The 12,080-nt window shown below is 45.5% G+C and overlaps 2 protein-coding genes across 2 annotated transcripts in view, besides 3 other annotated features; both read right to left on the minus strand.

Annotated features, from left to right (window-relative positions):
• OC90 (otoconin 90) overlaps window positions 1–6,197 on the minus strand; it is a 35,167-nt gene extending 28,970 nt beyond the window's left edge. The window contains exons 1-2 of the mRNA NM_001080399.3: window positions 6,156–6,197; window positions 1,796–1,888 (exon numbers count right to left, since the gene is read on the minus strand). Of these exons, the coding sequence (NP_001073868.2) occupies window positions 1,796–1,841 (46 nt within the window). The 5' untranslated portion in view covers window positions 1,842–1,888; window positions 6,156–6,197. The remainder of the gene's footprint in view (window positions 1–1,795; window positions 1,889–6,155) is intronic.
• Window positions 763–1,263: an enhancer, noted in NCBI's record as "H3K27ac hESC enhancer chr8:133066195-133066695 (GRCh37/hg19 assembly coordinates)". NCBI's record gives its function as "activates a minimal SCP1, AML or CMV promoter by ChIP-STARR-seq in naive H9 embryonic stem cells {active_cell/tissue: H9 hESC(naive)}" and the evidence as "EXISTENCE:reporter gene assay evidence [ECO:0000049][PMID:30033119]".
• Window positions 4,690–5,267: an enhancer, noted in NCBI's record as "H3K27ac-H3K4me1 hESC enhancer chr8:133070122-133070699 (GRCh37/hg19 assembly coordinates)". NCBI's record gives its function as "activates a minimal SCP1, AML or CMV promoter by ChIP-STARR-seq in primed H9 embryonic stem cells {active_cell/tissue: H9 hESC(primed)}" and the evidence as "EXISTENCE:reporter gene assay evidence [ECO:0000049][PMID:30033119]".
• Window positions 5,268–5,844: an enhancer, noted in NCBI's record as "NANOG-H3K27ac-H3K4me1 hESC enhancer chr8:133070700-133071276 (GRCh37/hg19 assembly coordinates)". NCBI's record gives its function as "activates a minimal SCP1, AML or CMV promoter by ChIP-STARR-seq in naive H9 embryonic stem cells {active_cell/tissue: H9 hESC(naive)}" and the evidence as "EXISTENCE:reporter gene assay evidence [ECO:0000049][PMID:30033119]".
• A 2,097-nt stretch (window positions 6,198–8,294) lies between the features above and the next one.
• HHLA1 (HHLA1 neighbor of OC90) overlaps window positions 8,295–12,080 on the minus strand; it is a 49,678-nt gene continuing 45,892 nt past the window's right edge. The window contains exon 17 of the mRNA NM_001145095.3: window positions 8,295–10,853. Within this exon, the coding sequence (NP_001138567.1) occupies window positions 10,810–10,853 (44 nt within the window). The 3' untranslated portion in view covers window positions 8,295–10,809. The remainder of the gene's footprint in view (window positions 10,854–12,080) is intronic.

Below are 12,080 nucleotides of genomic sequence, written 5' to 3' on the forward strand. Positions count from 1 at the left end.
GGATGCTGCCCCTGTGCTAGCATAATGTTGCAGACATCCTTCTCTCATTGCACCTGTCACCCCATGTTGCAATGATCTGTTTATGTAACCATTTCCCCCACTAAACTAGGGACTTCAAGGTAAGCACTGTGATGTATGTAATATATTGATATATGTATATACTTACATTATACATATATAACAGAAACCACAAGTTCAATTGATAACTGTTTAATGAAGGACAGAACATCCAATAGTTGAACCACACCATCAAATGGCCAGTGAGTGGTGGCCTGCTAGAATCAGAGAATCTTAGTCTCACAAACTTGAAGCAAACTTAGAATATAACATCTTTAGATAGTGGAATGATAATGTCTATTGGTGCTTTAGAATGGGATTTCATGGTATTATGTATTCTACCGAAAAGATCAACCAGGATTGCACAAAACCCACCTTTTTCCTCAGGTCCCTTCTCAGAGGATCTGGAAGGAAACAAACATGCAGAGGACAAGGGGGAAATGGGAGCCAACACATGGTGGTGTGATGTGGGGGCTGCAGCATGAGCTTCAGTGCAGAGCTCCCAGACAAAGAGAGCATGTGCTTAGGTGGGAGGGCCAAGGGATCTCCCTCTCCTAATGCAAATGTGGCCACCATCCCACTGGCTGACGCCTGCCCTTGGAAGTCACAAGGCAGCTCCGAGTGAGAGTAGAGGAAGCACAGCAGTCACCCTGGCTGTGTTGAGGGAGCCAACATGGAAGCTGCTCCCCGTCCTGCTGGAGGGATAGAGACCCCTGGAGAGACCTCACCATGCACAGAGACCCTCCTCATGGTCAACACTCACAAAGCATTGTCTTGTATCTGACTCAGATTGCTACTGGGGCAGCCATGAGAAGGGACCTTGCGGAGCTCCAACTACAGGAAGCATAACTGACCAAGGGCCTACGGCTGTGCTTGGAAGTCCAAGGCAGGGTTTGCACAGAGGCCTCGTCCCCTTCATGCCTGCTCCTAGCCAATGTCCCAGGGCATGTAGGTATACCACAGTGGGCAAGGCTCCTGGGGCACACAGGACTCCTCCGGCTCCTCTTGGATGACCTTGCCAGCTTACATCCAACTGAAGTCTAGGGCACATTCACCTCCCCTCTGCCCATCTCCTTCACATGCAGAACTTTCTGAAGGTCTCTACCTTTCACAGTTGCCACTCCATGTTTTTCCTCACAGGTGTTTCCTCTACTGCAATCTGCACACTTGATCTAGTTTGGGCTTCTGTTTCTCAGAAGACCCAGATTCAGACACCACTCCCACATCTTTGAGTCAGAAGCCTCAATAACACCTTCCCTGCTACAGTGTCTGGCCCCAGAATTGGCGAATATGTTGGGCAAGCAGTCTTATCTCAGTGGTGGTCACACACTTACCCTTGAAAAAATTGGGGCTGCAGGTCAAGCATGTTCAATTCACATGTAAATGGATACGATTGCACGTAAACTTTCTATGACTGTAATTTTTTGAAAGGTAGGTGTTAACATTGGAGAATAAAATCTCTTGGGATGTACCAAAAATGTTTGTAAACACTTATAATCGTAGAGCATATAATTGTCATTTTTGTCACCACAAGGTAGTTGCAAACTAATAAAAGAGGGAAGAAATAAAGCAAGAAGACAGAGAGGAATATGTTTAACCATCTCAATTTTATAGAAAGATAAGGACATTTAAAAGACACGTGGGAAAGATGGTGGGGGTGGGCCTGTTGAAGGGACAGTATTCAAATGAAGTAATTACATGCTAAGCTGGAACTATGGTGTAAGATATCATTACTCACCGGCATGGGGGATCATCAGCACACTGGTGAGGAGAAACGCAATCATAGCAGGAGAACAAAGGATGGGGCTTAGGCAGCAACTGGAACGGACTCCTGGGAGAGAAGCCAGCAGAATAGGATGGAAGCATTTTCAGAATTCCCATGAAAGAACCCATGGGACCCCCATGTCCTTTCTTGGTCCCACAAGGCATGTGGTAAAAGGAGAAAGCCCTGAAAGGGTGTAGGTCCCAGTTTTGCCACTAACTGACAATGTGCCTCTAAGAAGATTATGTTCCCTCCTTGAGACTCAGTTTACCCATCTGTAAAATGGAAATGTAGCCATGAGCTCCCTGAAGACACAGCCGTGGGCTTCTGTATTTACTGATTGATTCCATGGTCATTTCTTCCAGGCCTGCCTCGTGTCAGGCATCAAAGGATTGAGGATCCAGGAGTGCAAAGTGAGGAGAAAACACTCCTTACCTGAGTTGCTCATAGACTAATGCGGAAGGGAGGCAAGGTAACAAGTGCTGTAGTTTGACTTTTGTTAATTGAATTTTAAATAGCCCGTACTTTATGATATACCCAGCATTCCCAATGCACCTTTGGCATGTAGGTTTTGAACCTTTCAACGATCACTTGACATAGAAATAAATCCGACAACCACATGGTGGCGCTGCATGCTAGCAAACAAAGCTTTTCCGGCAGCATCTCCCTCTTCCTTCCCTTCCTCGGCTTTTGAGTATTTCGAATACTTTGTTGAGGTCCTGAGAGTTCAATAGATACTCCTCGGAGGATGCTTTGGGGGCAAAGGGGAGAAGCGGGCAGAGTCCAGCAACCCTACTGCTTTTCAATTGTAGCTGCCGTCTGCTGAGATCAGCAAATATTTAACTTCAATAAGCCCTTAACGGACTCTAGCCAATCCATTATATGTTTAACAGGGGGACGGGGTGGGAGGCGCAGGGAAAAGACCAGAGGGATTTTAAAATAATATTTGCCCCCTTAGAATATAACTCCATAAATAATGTAAATACGGTTGGTTGTCTTGTGCATATTCTGCTTTTAGAACATGTTTTTGGGACAAAGTATGAATGATAACACATCTTGATCCATACCACCCTAGTGGCACACACAGGGCTGCTGGGTAGGGCTGTACATGTTGTGCACTGCACAAAAGCGCTTGGTCAGGAGGGTCAACTAGATGCTGAAAAAGCCAGAGCTTGACTCTGAAGCTTGTCCTCTGCAGTGTTGCATCAACCCGAAGGAAGGAGCACTTTGTAAAATTTGTTCTCCCAGAGACCAAGACTGCCCCGTATTCTGGTGGTCTTGCATATGTACCCAGGGCCGTGACGGGTCATTCTGCCTGTGAGCAAGGCTTGGTATTAGGGAAAGTGTCCCAGAGGAGAAGACATTGTAGGTTGTACAATCACTACTCTATGGACCTATCCCAGGGTCTAGCACAAGCTCTGGTGGCTGCAAAATAAATGTTTGTTGAATGAATTTTTTTAAAAAGGGTAGAGTGTGAGTTCTTTGAGATTCTTACTCAGCTCAAGAATTCTCTAGTAATCTGGTTACTGTCTCATTGGTGCAACGCTCTGCTTAGAGCCTTTTTTAGCCACACAAATTCCTAAAGCTGGTTAACTTTCAAGGTGAGACAGTCTCCCTCACTGTTTGGTGGAAATTCAGTTCTGAATGATTCCTTCTCAGGCCATGAAACAAGGCTGAAAATTAAGGGGGAGACAAGAGAGGTCTCCAAATGGAAAGTGGTATGCCCTGGAAAGTCTTGTGGTTAGCAGAAGGCACTTCAGAGGAGCCCAGAGACCTCATTGAAATGATACCCACATGAATGGGTCCAACATGAACTTGGACAATGTAGTCACTTTCTGCCACTCAGTATGTCAGGTATTTTATTGTGACCATCACACCATGACAGGTTGCCAGCATGTCTGAACTTGGAGTGGCATTGGGATCTTCCAGTCCAAGCTCCTGTTTTACAGATGAGATCATTGAGGTTTAGAGCCTGGCAAATCATGGCAAGAATGTCCAGCTTCCCAGGTCTCCTGACTCCAAGTCCAGTGTCATCATAATAACAGTACCTATCTGTGAGGCTGTTGTGAAGACTGAAATGAGTTAATCTTTGTGAGGCACATACAACAGCGCCTGACATAGAGAAGTTGCTCAAAAGCATTAAGAATTACAATGATGGCATCTGGCTCGAGGTCAAAGGCTCAATAAGTAGTAGCTGCTACAATGAAGGCCTTTGTGCTGTTCCCTAATCCCCTGTAAGAGTGGAAGGCCCTGTCTGGTGAATGAAGAAGAATGATCAGTTTTGCACAGTGGATCTCTGTTTTTCTTTTGTGACACATGTTTCAGGGGTGCATTCCCCTGGGGAGTTCTGCAGCTCAGATAAGACGGCCTGAAGGTCATGTTCCATTACCTCCTTGAAACATGTTGCTTGAATGCAAATGAGCCAAAATGACTTTATTAGAGACATAATTTTGACTATGCTCTAATTTATTTTTGCAATAAGTTATAAGGAGGTATGATTGGGTGTTCTTCGATAATGGGGAGAGTTTCAGTAGGGGAAGATGAAAAAGTCCTGGAGGTGGACAGTGGCGTGATTGCATATCAATGTGAATGCACTTAATGCTCCTCAGCTGTACACTTAAAAGTGGCTGACATGGTCAATATTATGTATATTTTACCACAACTTTTTAAAAAGTAAGTAATAATCTTCATGACCTTATTCCTTTAAACACAACATTTCATGGATTAGGTCATTCTTTGTGTCAGGTGTTCCACTGAGCATGCCCCACTTGCTGTCTGGTGACAACCCTCCAAGACTTTGGCTATCAAGACGTCTCACTTTCTAGACCAGGAAACTGGGCTCAGAGGGTGAGTCACTTGCCAGGGTGGCCCTTGCCCAGAAGGGGGCGCTCTGGCAATGACCAGACCCAGGTGGGCCAGTCTGACTTGTTCTGGCTCCAATACCCTAAACTGCTAGGCCGGTCCTTTGAGACAAACTAAGCATTCCAGTGATGACTCACTGCGTAACTGTCACAATTATCGGTAGTACTTGCTTGGGAAGACCCTTAGGGTGGCCAGCTTCTTGCTAGGGTGTGGTGAAACACAGCAGGTGACAGCTTCCTTGCTGCGCACAAAGAAGGAAAGTCAGTGCCAGCTAGAAGGTGCCAGTTAGAAGCACGTGGTCAGCCCTGGGCAACAGTGAGGATGACCCGAATCTGGGGTACGTGCACATTAGGGTACGTGGGTGGGATGGTGTGGGGCTGCTTCTGAAATCCAGTATCCTCCTGTTGGCCAAGTCAGGCGCCCTTGGCTGTGGGGCTGTGTCTACCTGGAGGAAAGACCTCCTTCTCCTAATTTGCCCAAGGAAGTCTCTGGGGCTGTCGTGGCCTCATGGGTCAGTGCTGTCCTTGTGGGCCTGAGAAGGCTCCCGAAGCCTCGCCTTGGTCTGCATGCCAGGTTTGGAGTCCCGGCTCCCCTAGCTGTCTCCCAATGGCCGGTCTCATGGCTGCATAGCCAGTGTCTGAGCCCAAGGCCTTGCTGGTCGGACAGACCTGGGCTGGGGTCAGGGAGTTCAGGCTCTGCCTTTTGCTTGTCGAGTGCCCTGAGCCAGGCACTGAAGATGCCTGGAACTCATTTTCCTGGGCAGCGAAATGCATATAATGGTGTTTTTTCATCAGGGAATCATGAGGGTTAAATCTGATGAGTCTTATAAAGGTAGAACACCATCTCCGGCACTTGCTCAGTGCTCAGTGAGGACTGCCCATAATTAATGCTGATTGTGTTTCCACACCAGGTGCCGTGGGCGGGGTCATTGCCCAGGGCTATGTAGGATCCTCACTAATGTGAAGTGGTGGATTTTTCCCCCGGGTAAATTTGCCAGGTGCTCTCTGTCTGGCATTGCATCTTTTCACAGATCGACTCAGAGCAATTTGGGTTTTCAGCTATATCCTGGAGCAACATCCAGGTCTCAGACAGCCCTGAGAGCATCCCCTACCACCTTATCCTCCATTCATTTATCTCCTCATTTCCCCTCCATTCTTCTCTCCCTTCCTCCCTCTTTCCCTCTCTCCCTCCCTCCCTTCTACCCTCTCTTTCTCCCTCCTTTTCTTCCTTCATCAATTTCTCCTACTTTTCTTCCCTCCCCTCCTTCCTCCTACCCTTTCTGCCTCTTTCCATCTCCCAACCATTTCCCTCCCTCCCTCACTCTTTTCCTCCATCCCTCCCTCTCCCCCTCCTTCTCTTTCTCCCTCCCTTCTTCTCTTCTCCCATTCATTTCCCTCCTTTACTTGCTGTCTTCCTCCCTCCCTCCCTCCCCTGCTCTCTGTCTCCCCAACCATCAGGAATAACAGATGCCTACCGTGAAGGCTCCACTGGAGTGCAGCTGGATGAATGATGCTAGGGTTTGAACAGGTGCAGACTGAGTCCTTTATACCCCAAGGAAAGACCCTTAGCCATGTGATGCCTCTCCCCACTCCTCACATCAAGAAGGAAGCCTTTCATGAATGTTGGCAGGTGGGCTGCCTCTGAAGGGAGGAGGCATCATAATACTATAGCTTGGAACAGGTGAAGGCTCCATATTAAGAAGCCCCATCTTGAGCCTCAGAGGAGACCTCAGGCTCTAATTAGAGAACAATGGGTTCCCTGTTCTACCCCACCTCACCTCAAAGGCTAGGAGGCCCATGGATTATGTCTCAGGGTCATCATGGGAACTCTCGGGGGATGAAAGACTGATGAAAGTCATGTGGGCTCTCCTGCAAGATAAAGGGCTGGCTTTGTCTGGTCTAGTTCATTCTTTAGCAAGAGGATTTCTAGCGTGATTCTTCTTATATGTTCTTGGCCTCAGATCTCGGAATTTGATGCCTCTTTCCTTTAGGGCTTTTCTGCCCAAGCTGTGGGGTAGGGTGAGGTGGGGCTTTATAATCAGACACCCAAGGTTCCTCTGCCAGCCCTGCTACTGAGTAGCAGTGTGACCTTGAGTTTGTCACTGCTCAGCTTTAGCTTCCACATCTGTTAAATGGGCTTAATCCTACTAAGATTTCGAGGCTGAAGAAAGCCATATATAGTGTGTGGTATGGGGGCTCATTAAGTCCTAGTTCTTTTTGTCACTTCCTCATATCGCCTTGTGAAGGGTTTTCTTTCCTGATTTTGAAAGGAGAACTGGCATTTATTGAGTACGTGTAATGTACCACAAGTGTTTTATAGGATTTTGCCCTCATCATCCCTGCAGCAGCCCTTCCATTACTGCTTTCATAATCCTAGGAGCAAGGATTAATTAGCTCCACTTTACAGATGAGAAAAAATGGTGTCGTTGAGGTTGAGGCATTGTAGAAGCTCACGTGTAATGGAAGCATTCTGGAATGCAGGTTAGCCTGGCTGTGAACCCTCTGAGTTGCTCACTCTATGGCCACCTCCTGAAGAAGCAGGACTCCTCAAACGATTAAATCAGGGCACAATTGAGCCTCTATGGAAGAACCCATTGAAGGGCTTCTTCAAATAAGTAATTACTCTCATTCATTGAGGCTTGTGTTTGTAGATCATTAACTATTGTTCAGCATCTCATGTGATTTGAGGAATGAAGATGCATTGTCTGTAATATTTTCTCATTAGCACCAAAGACCCACCATCTCTAAAATGACTAAGCCCGTGGGCATCTATGGCTCAGTGCAGCAAAATCCATCTTTTCAGCATCTCAAGAGCATAGCTGAGATTGTTATTATGCTCAAGAGCATAACTGAGATTGTTATTATGCCTGAGCAATACAAAGGCATAACAATCTACATAGGTATCTTGTTCGAGACATTTCATGGGGTTTTGAGAAGGATCATTTTTTCCCATAGCTTACAACAGAGTATCTTAATCTTAGCACTGTTGACATTTGGGCCAAATTATTCTTTTTTTGTAGGAGTTGTCCCGAGCATTGCAATATCGCAGGTCTCTACTCAGCTGATGCCAGTAGCACTCCCTACCTTGTTGTGACAACCAAAAATGTCTCCAAACATTGCCAAGTGTCCCCTGGGGGCCAAATCACCCCTGATTGAAAACCACTGGCCTTCAATATCCCTGGAACCTTGGCCTTTTACCATTCTGTTGGTGGAATAAAGTGAGAGTGAAGTTTTCACAAGAACCCAGACATAAGAGGATAAAGTCTGTTCTAAATGAGAGTTTAAAATTTTAGATTTAATTATGACAGCACCTAAATGTCTCGTTCACACAAACCCACAGCACTAGTGCACCTGTGCAGAAATAGGGAGCCACACGCACACACACACAAACACTTAGAACCATGCACTGGGGCCAAGAAACAAACACAATCTTTCTCCTCTCTCCCCCTTCTCCTCCCCCTTTCCCTCTCCTCTTTCCCTTCCCCTCCTTCCTTTCCCTCTCCCTCATCTTCTCCCTCTCCCTTCCTCCTTCTCTCTGTCCCTCTCTTTCTTTCTCTTGACAACTTAGCTGGTCTTCTGGGCATGAATGAAATAAACAGAAATGTGCCTGCACCTTTGCTACCTGGAAGAATGAAGTTTAATGACGTTACGCATGTAACTGCACAATCTCCTTCATCAGAACAGATACAGTCACTGTCCCATCTCTTTCACCTCATCTGCTAACCACTGGTGGCCACATACATACACACTAATTAGTAGGAGTTCCAGATCAGTAGCACCCCCTGAGGCTTTCTTATTGCCCTAGCTATCCCCTAAATCAGGACACATTCAGCTCAGAAGGGGTCAAACCTCTTATGAACTCCAGGAGACCAGTTGGACTCCAGGCAGTCGTCAGCCACTCCTGGGCCCTGTTTTCCTTCTGCCTTTGCTGCTGTTGTGGCTGATGGTATGACTGTAGAAAACTGGCCCCAAGGAGTCCTCTGAGCCTTTGTCCTTGATGCTAGGCCAGATCCTTGCATAAGCCTCAGAGGTATTCCGCATTTGAGCTTCTTAAAGATTATAGTCATGCTCAGTCATTATTCCCAAAGTATGGGGTAACTGGGTTCACATGGGTTTCCCCACAAGTGAATAGCCCCAGTCTTGGGCCCAAGCCATCCATCCATTCTTCACCTTCCTTGATGATAAGTTACTCTTTGAGGAACCTTGAGGACCCTCTCCTGTCAAAGGTCCTTAATTAATATCCACGCAAGGGTTGAATCAAATTAATCCATGCTTAATGAGTTTGCTTGGTTCCTATCCAGGTAGAAGTCCCTTTGCCTCCCAGAAAATTTGCTGTATCCTCTTCATCTTTGCAAAAGTCATGATAATATACATTTATGAGCTTGACATTTGCATAACTTGGAGAGTCTTTCAAGTGTTCTGGAGAATAAAAAGAAATCTTTCTGCATATGATTAGAAAGAGAAATGTCTGGCTGCTCCTCTCTCCAATGTCCAAGTTCTACCTCCCCAGGCACCTTGTGGTTCACAGGAGTGCCAGGGAACTCAGGGGTCTTCCAATGGCAGAAACTGTTTTCTACTTAGATGATGAACAGAAAGTGACTTTCCTCACCCAAGGGCAGCCCTAGGTCACAAAAGGGTAAAAAAAATACTCATGGCCCAGCAGAGTCCTAAGGCAAGAGAGTGGAGAAGGAGCACCAGGCACATCAGGAGAAAAACTGTCCCTGGTAATGAGAAATAAGGGGTCCGTGCAGAGCCACTGGAGAGGGCACACATGCTCTACGTGGAGACTCAGCATAGATAGGGATACTGGAGCAACCGCAAACCTGAATATAGTGAAAAAGGAATCTGATACAATGAAGGTGGCAAATCAGTATGTGGGGATGCAGAAGAAAGTTGACTCCACAGACGTACTCCACAGATGAGCTCAAATCCTGCACCTTTCAGAGGAACATCTGGTCCTTGACCAGCTCCTGGGGAATCCCCTGTAAATCCTTGGAATATCCTGCCTGATGAGTGTCTCTTGTACCTGGGGCTTCGTGCCATGACAGATAGTTTATGTTAACAATGTGATTTATGGTGGGGCCTTAGGTCGTGCAGTATCAGCTTGACCTCTAGAGGGACTGGAGACTGAATAACTAAGTTTAGCCATGCAGGCCATGAAGGCACTCCATACCTACTCCATACCCCCAAACATCCCCTGGACACCAAAACTTGGATGAGCTTTCCTGGCTGACAATACTCCACGTGTTGTTAAACATTATTTCTGGGAGGATTAGATGCTGACTGTGCAACCCCACTGGAAGCTTGTGCCTGGGCTCTCTTGGACTCTCTCTAGAGGTGCCTTTCACATTTGCTGCTTTTCATCTGCATCCTTTTGTTGTAATAAATGCTAAATGTGCATATAACAGTTTTCCCTACCTCTGAGTTCTACTCATGAATCATTGAACCTGAGGGTGCTCATGGGGACCTCTGAATCCAGTGGGTCACACAGAAGAGGAATCAAGACAAGATGTCAATAAAAACAACTCTCTAAACCTCCTCCTAATGATAAAGTTTTCATTATCGCCCACTTAAGGGGGCTTGGAAGATTATATAGATCCCATACCATGGCAAGTCTGATTGGTTGTACATGTATTAGTTAACTATCAGTATATGTGAATCTCTCTAGAGTATGAATTCAATATTAATTTATGCTTTTGTTGTCTTTCAAAAGTCTCAAGTTTAAGTCACCTCAGGTATTGTGTCAGAGTCTCCATGGCTGAACTGGTTTGTGCAGGCTAGAGTGCCCACGCATCCCCAGTTTTTAAATTGTCAGGATTGCCTCAAGCATTGTAGGAGTTTCTTGAGCATGAACACTAGATTTCCATGATTTTGAAGCAGGCAAGGAGTCTGGCATTACTGTATTAATTGTGAGGCCTCTAACAAGAAAACTTCTACCTTCAATGTTTTGCACAGATTCACAGGAGAGGGAAAAAAAATGCTACTTCCAAGAATAACCACTTTAAATTAACTGATGATCTAGCTGGAGCCTGGGTGAATTCTTCAAATGTAGCCCACTTGGGACAAGAGCCAGGGTGGATGGCGTATCCCCTGAAGTAATTGTTATGCCCTAGTGTTATTTTCAAGGCCTCACACAGACTTGCAGATATTCTCAAGGCACTTTTGCTTTAAGGCTGAAAAAAAAGCAGAAGAAGAAGGAACTCAAGGTACTGAGATATAAACACTGTAGAGACATAAATTAAACCCTGATGTCGCCAACAAGGGTCTAGCCTCTTCCGGAGAGCAAGTGTGGGGCAGTGCACTGGACAGGGGTCACTAGGGGTGAGACTCAGAAGGTGGAAAAGACTCATGCAAGACCCCATTGCTAGTTAGCATCAAAGTCTAGTGAGGAGCAGCCCGTATTTCTCCACTCACTGCCCAATGCTCTTTTCCAATACCCAGCTGTATCTAACGCATCTCTAGAGCTTGCACGAGGCTAATTTAAACTCATTAATAAGTTGTTCAGTAAATGTAATACGTTGTGTGCATAGAGATTTTAATGTGGCAAGGACGAAAGAACTATTGAATTATGTGTTTGCAAGATTTCCTATTTCCTCTCCTCATACCAGATAAAGGGATTTCTATCTTTGATTTCTGACCACCCCACCCCCACTCCTAATGCCTATATATTTTTTGGTCATTTAATGCAGGATGAAGGTGATGATAGGAAGAGAAGACAGGAAAAGTGGGATGGTGGACTTGCATAAGAAATAAGGACCCTGTGTTTGGGAAAGAAAAAAATAATGGAGGCAGAAGGAAAGCAAAGTAAGCAGAAGAGGTAAATGGAAACACAGAGAAGAGCCAGAGAGCTTGATTTTAGGAGAGCTACTGAGTGATAAGTTGAAAAATGAAATATAAAGAGAAGTTTTAAGATGATGGTTTGTGAGAAGTGAGAAACAGTGGAGGGCAGAAAGAATAAGAAGTTTCTAAGAAGTGTTGACATGGATCCCAGGGATCCCAGCTGGTATTCTTCAGGACCCAAATGGAAAGATTGGGTTATTACACTGTTTCGTTTGTTTGTTCAAATGTAAAACATTGCCAAGACTGAGCCCTGTGAGCACCCAGCTTATATTTGGGTTACAGTAAGAAGGGATTTTCTATACAGTTTAATGTAATTCCATGATATTTAGAAGACCAGAGTCCCTTGAGGTAGTTCAGGTAGATGGCATGATAATGGCCAAACTATGGGTTTTGGGATATTTTTTGCAGAAGTGAGAGATAAAAAAAAGCTGATACTGGAATATCTGGAAATAAATGAAGTTTTGAAGCTACCAGGACAAGGAGAGAGGTACCATAATGAAACATAAATTCTAGTACTTCACGGTGCCTTCTTTTGCATGAATTATTTGTTTGCATTTTTC

The sequence above is a fragment of the Homo sapiens genome, chromosome 8 (genome assembly GCF_000001405.40).
Source record: "Homo sapiens chromosome 8, GRCh38.p14 Primary Assembly".
Classification (NCBI taxonomy): Eukaryota; Metazoa; Chordata; class Mammalia; order Primates; family Hominidae; genus Homo; species Homo sapiens.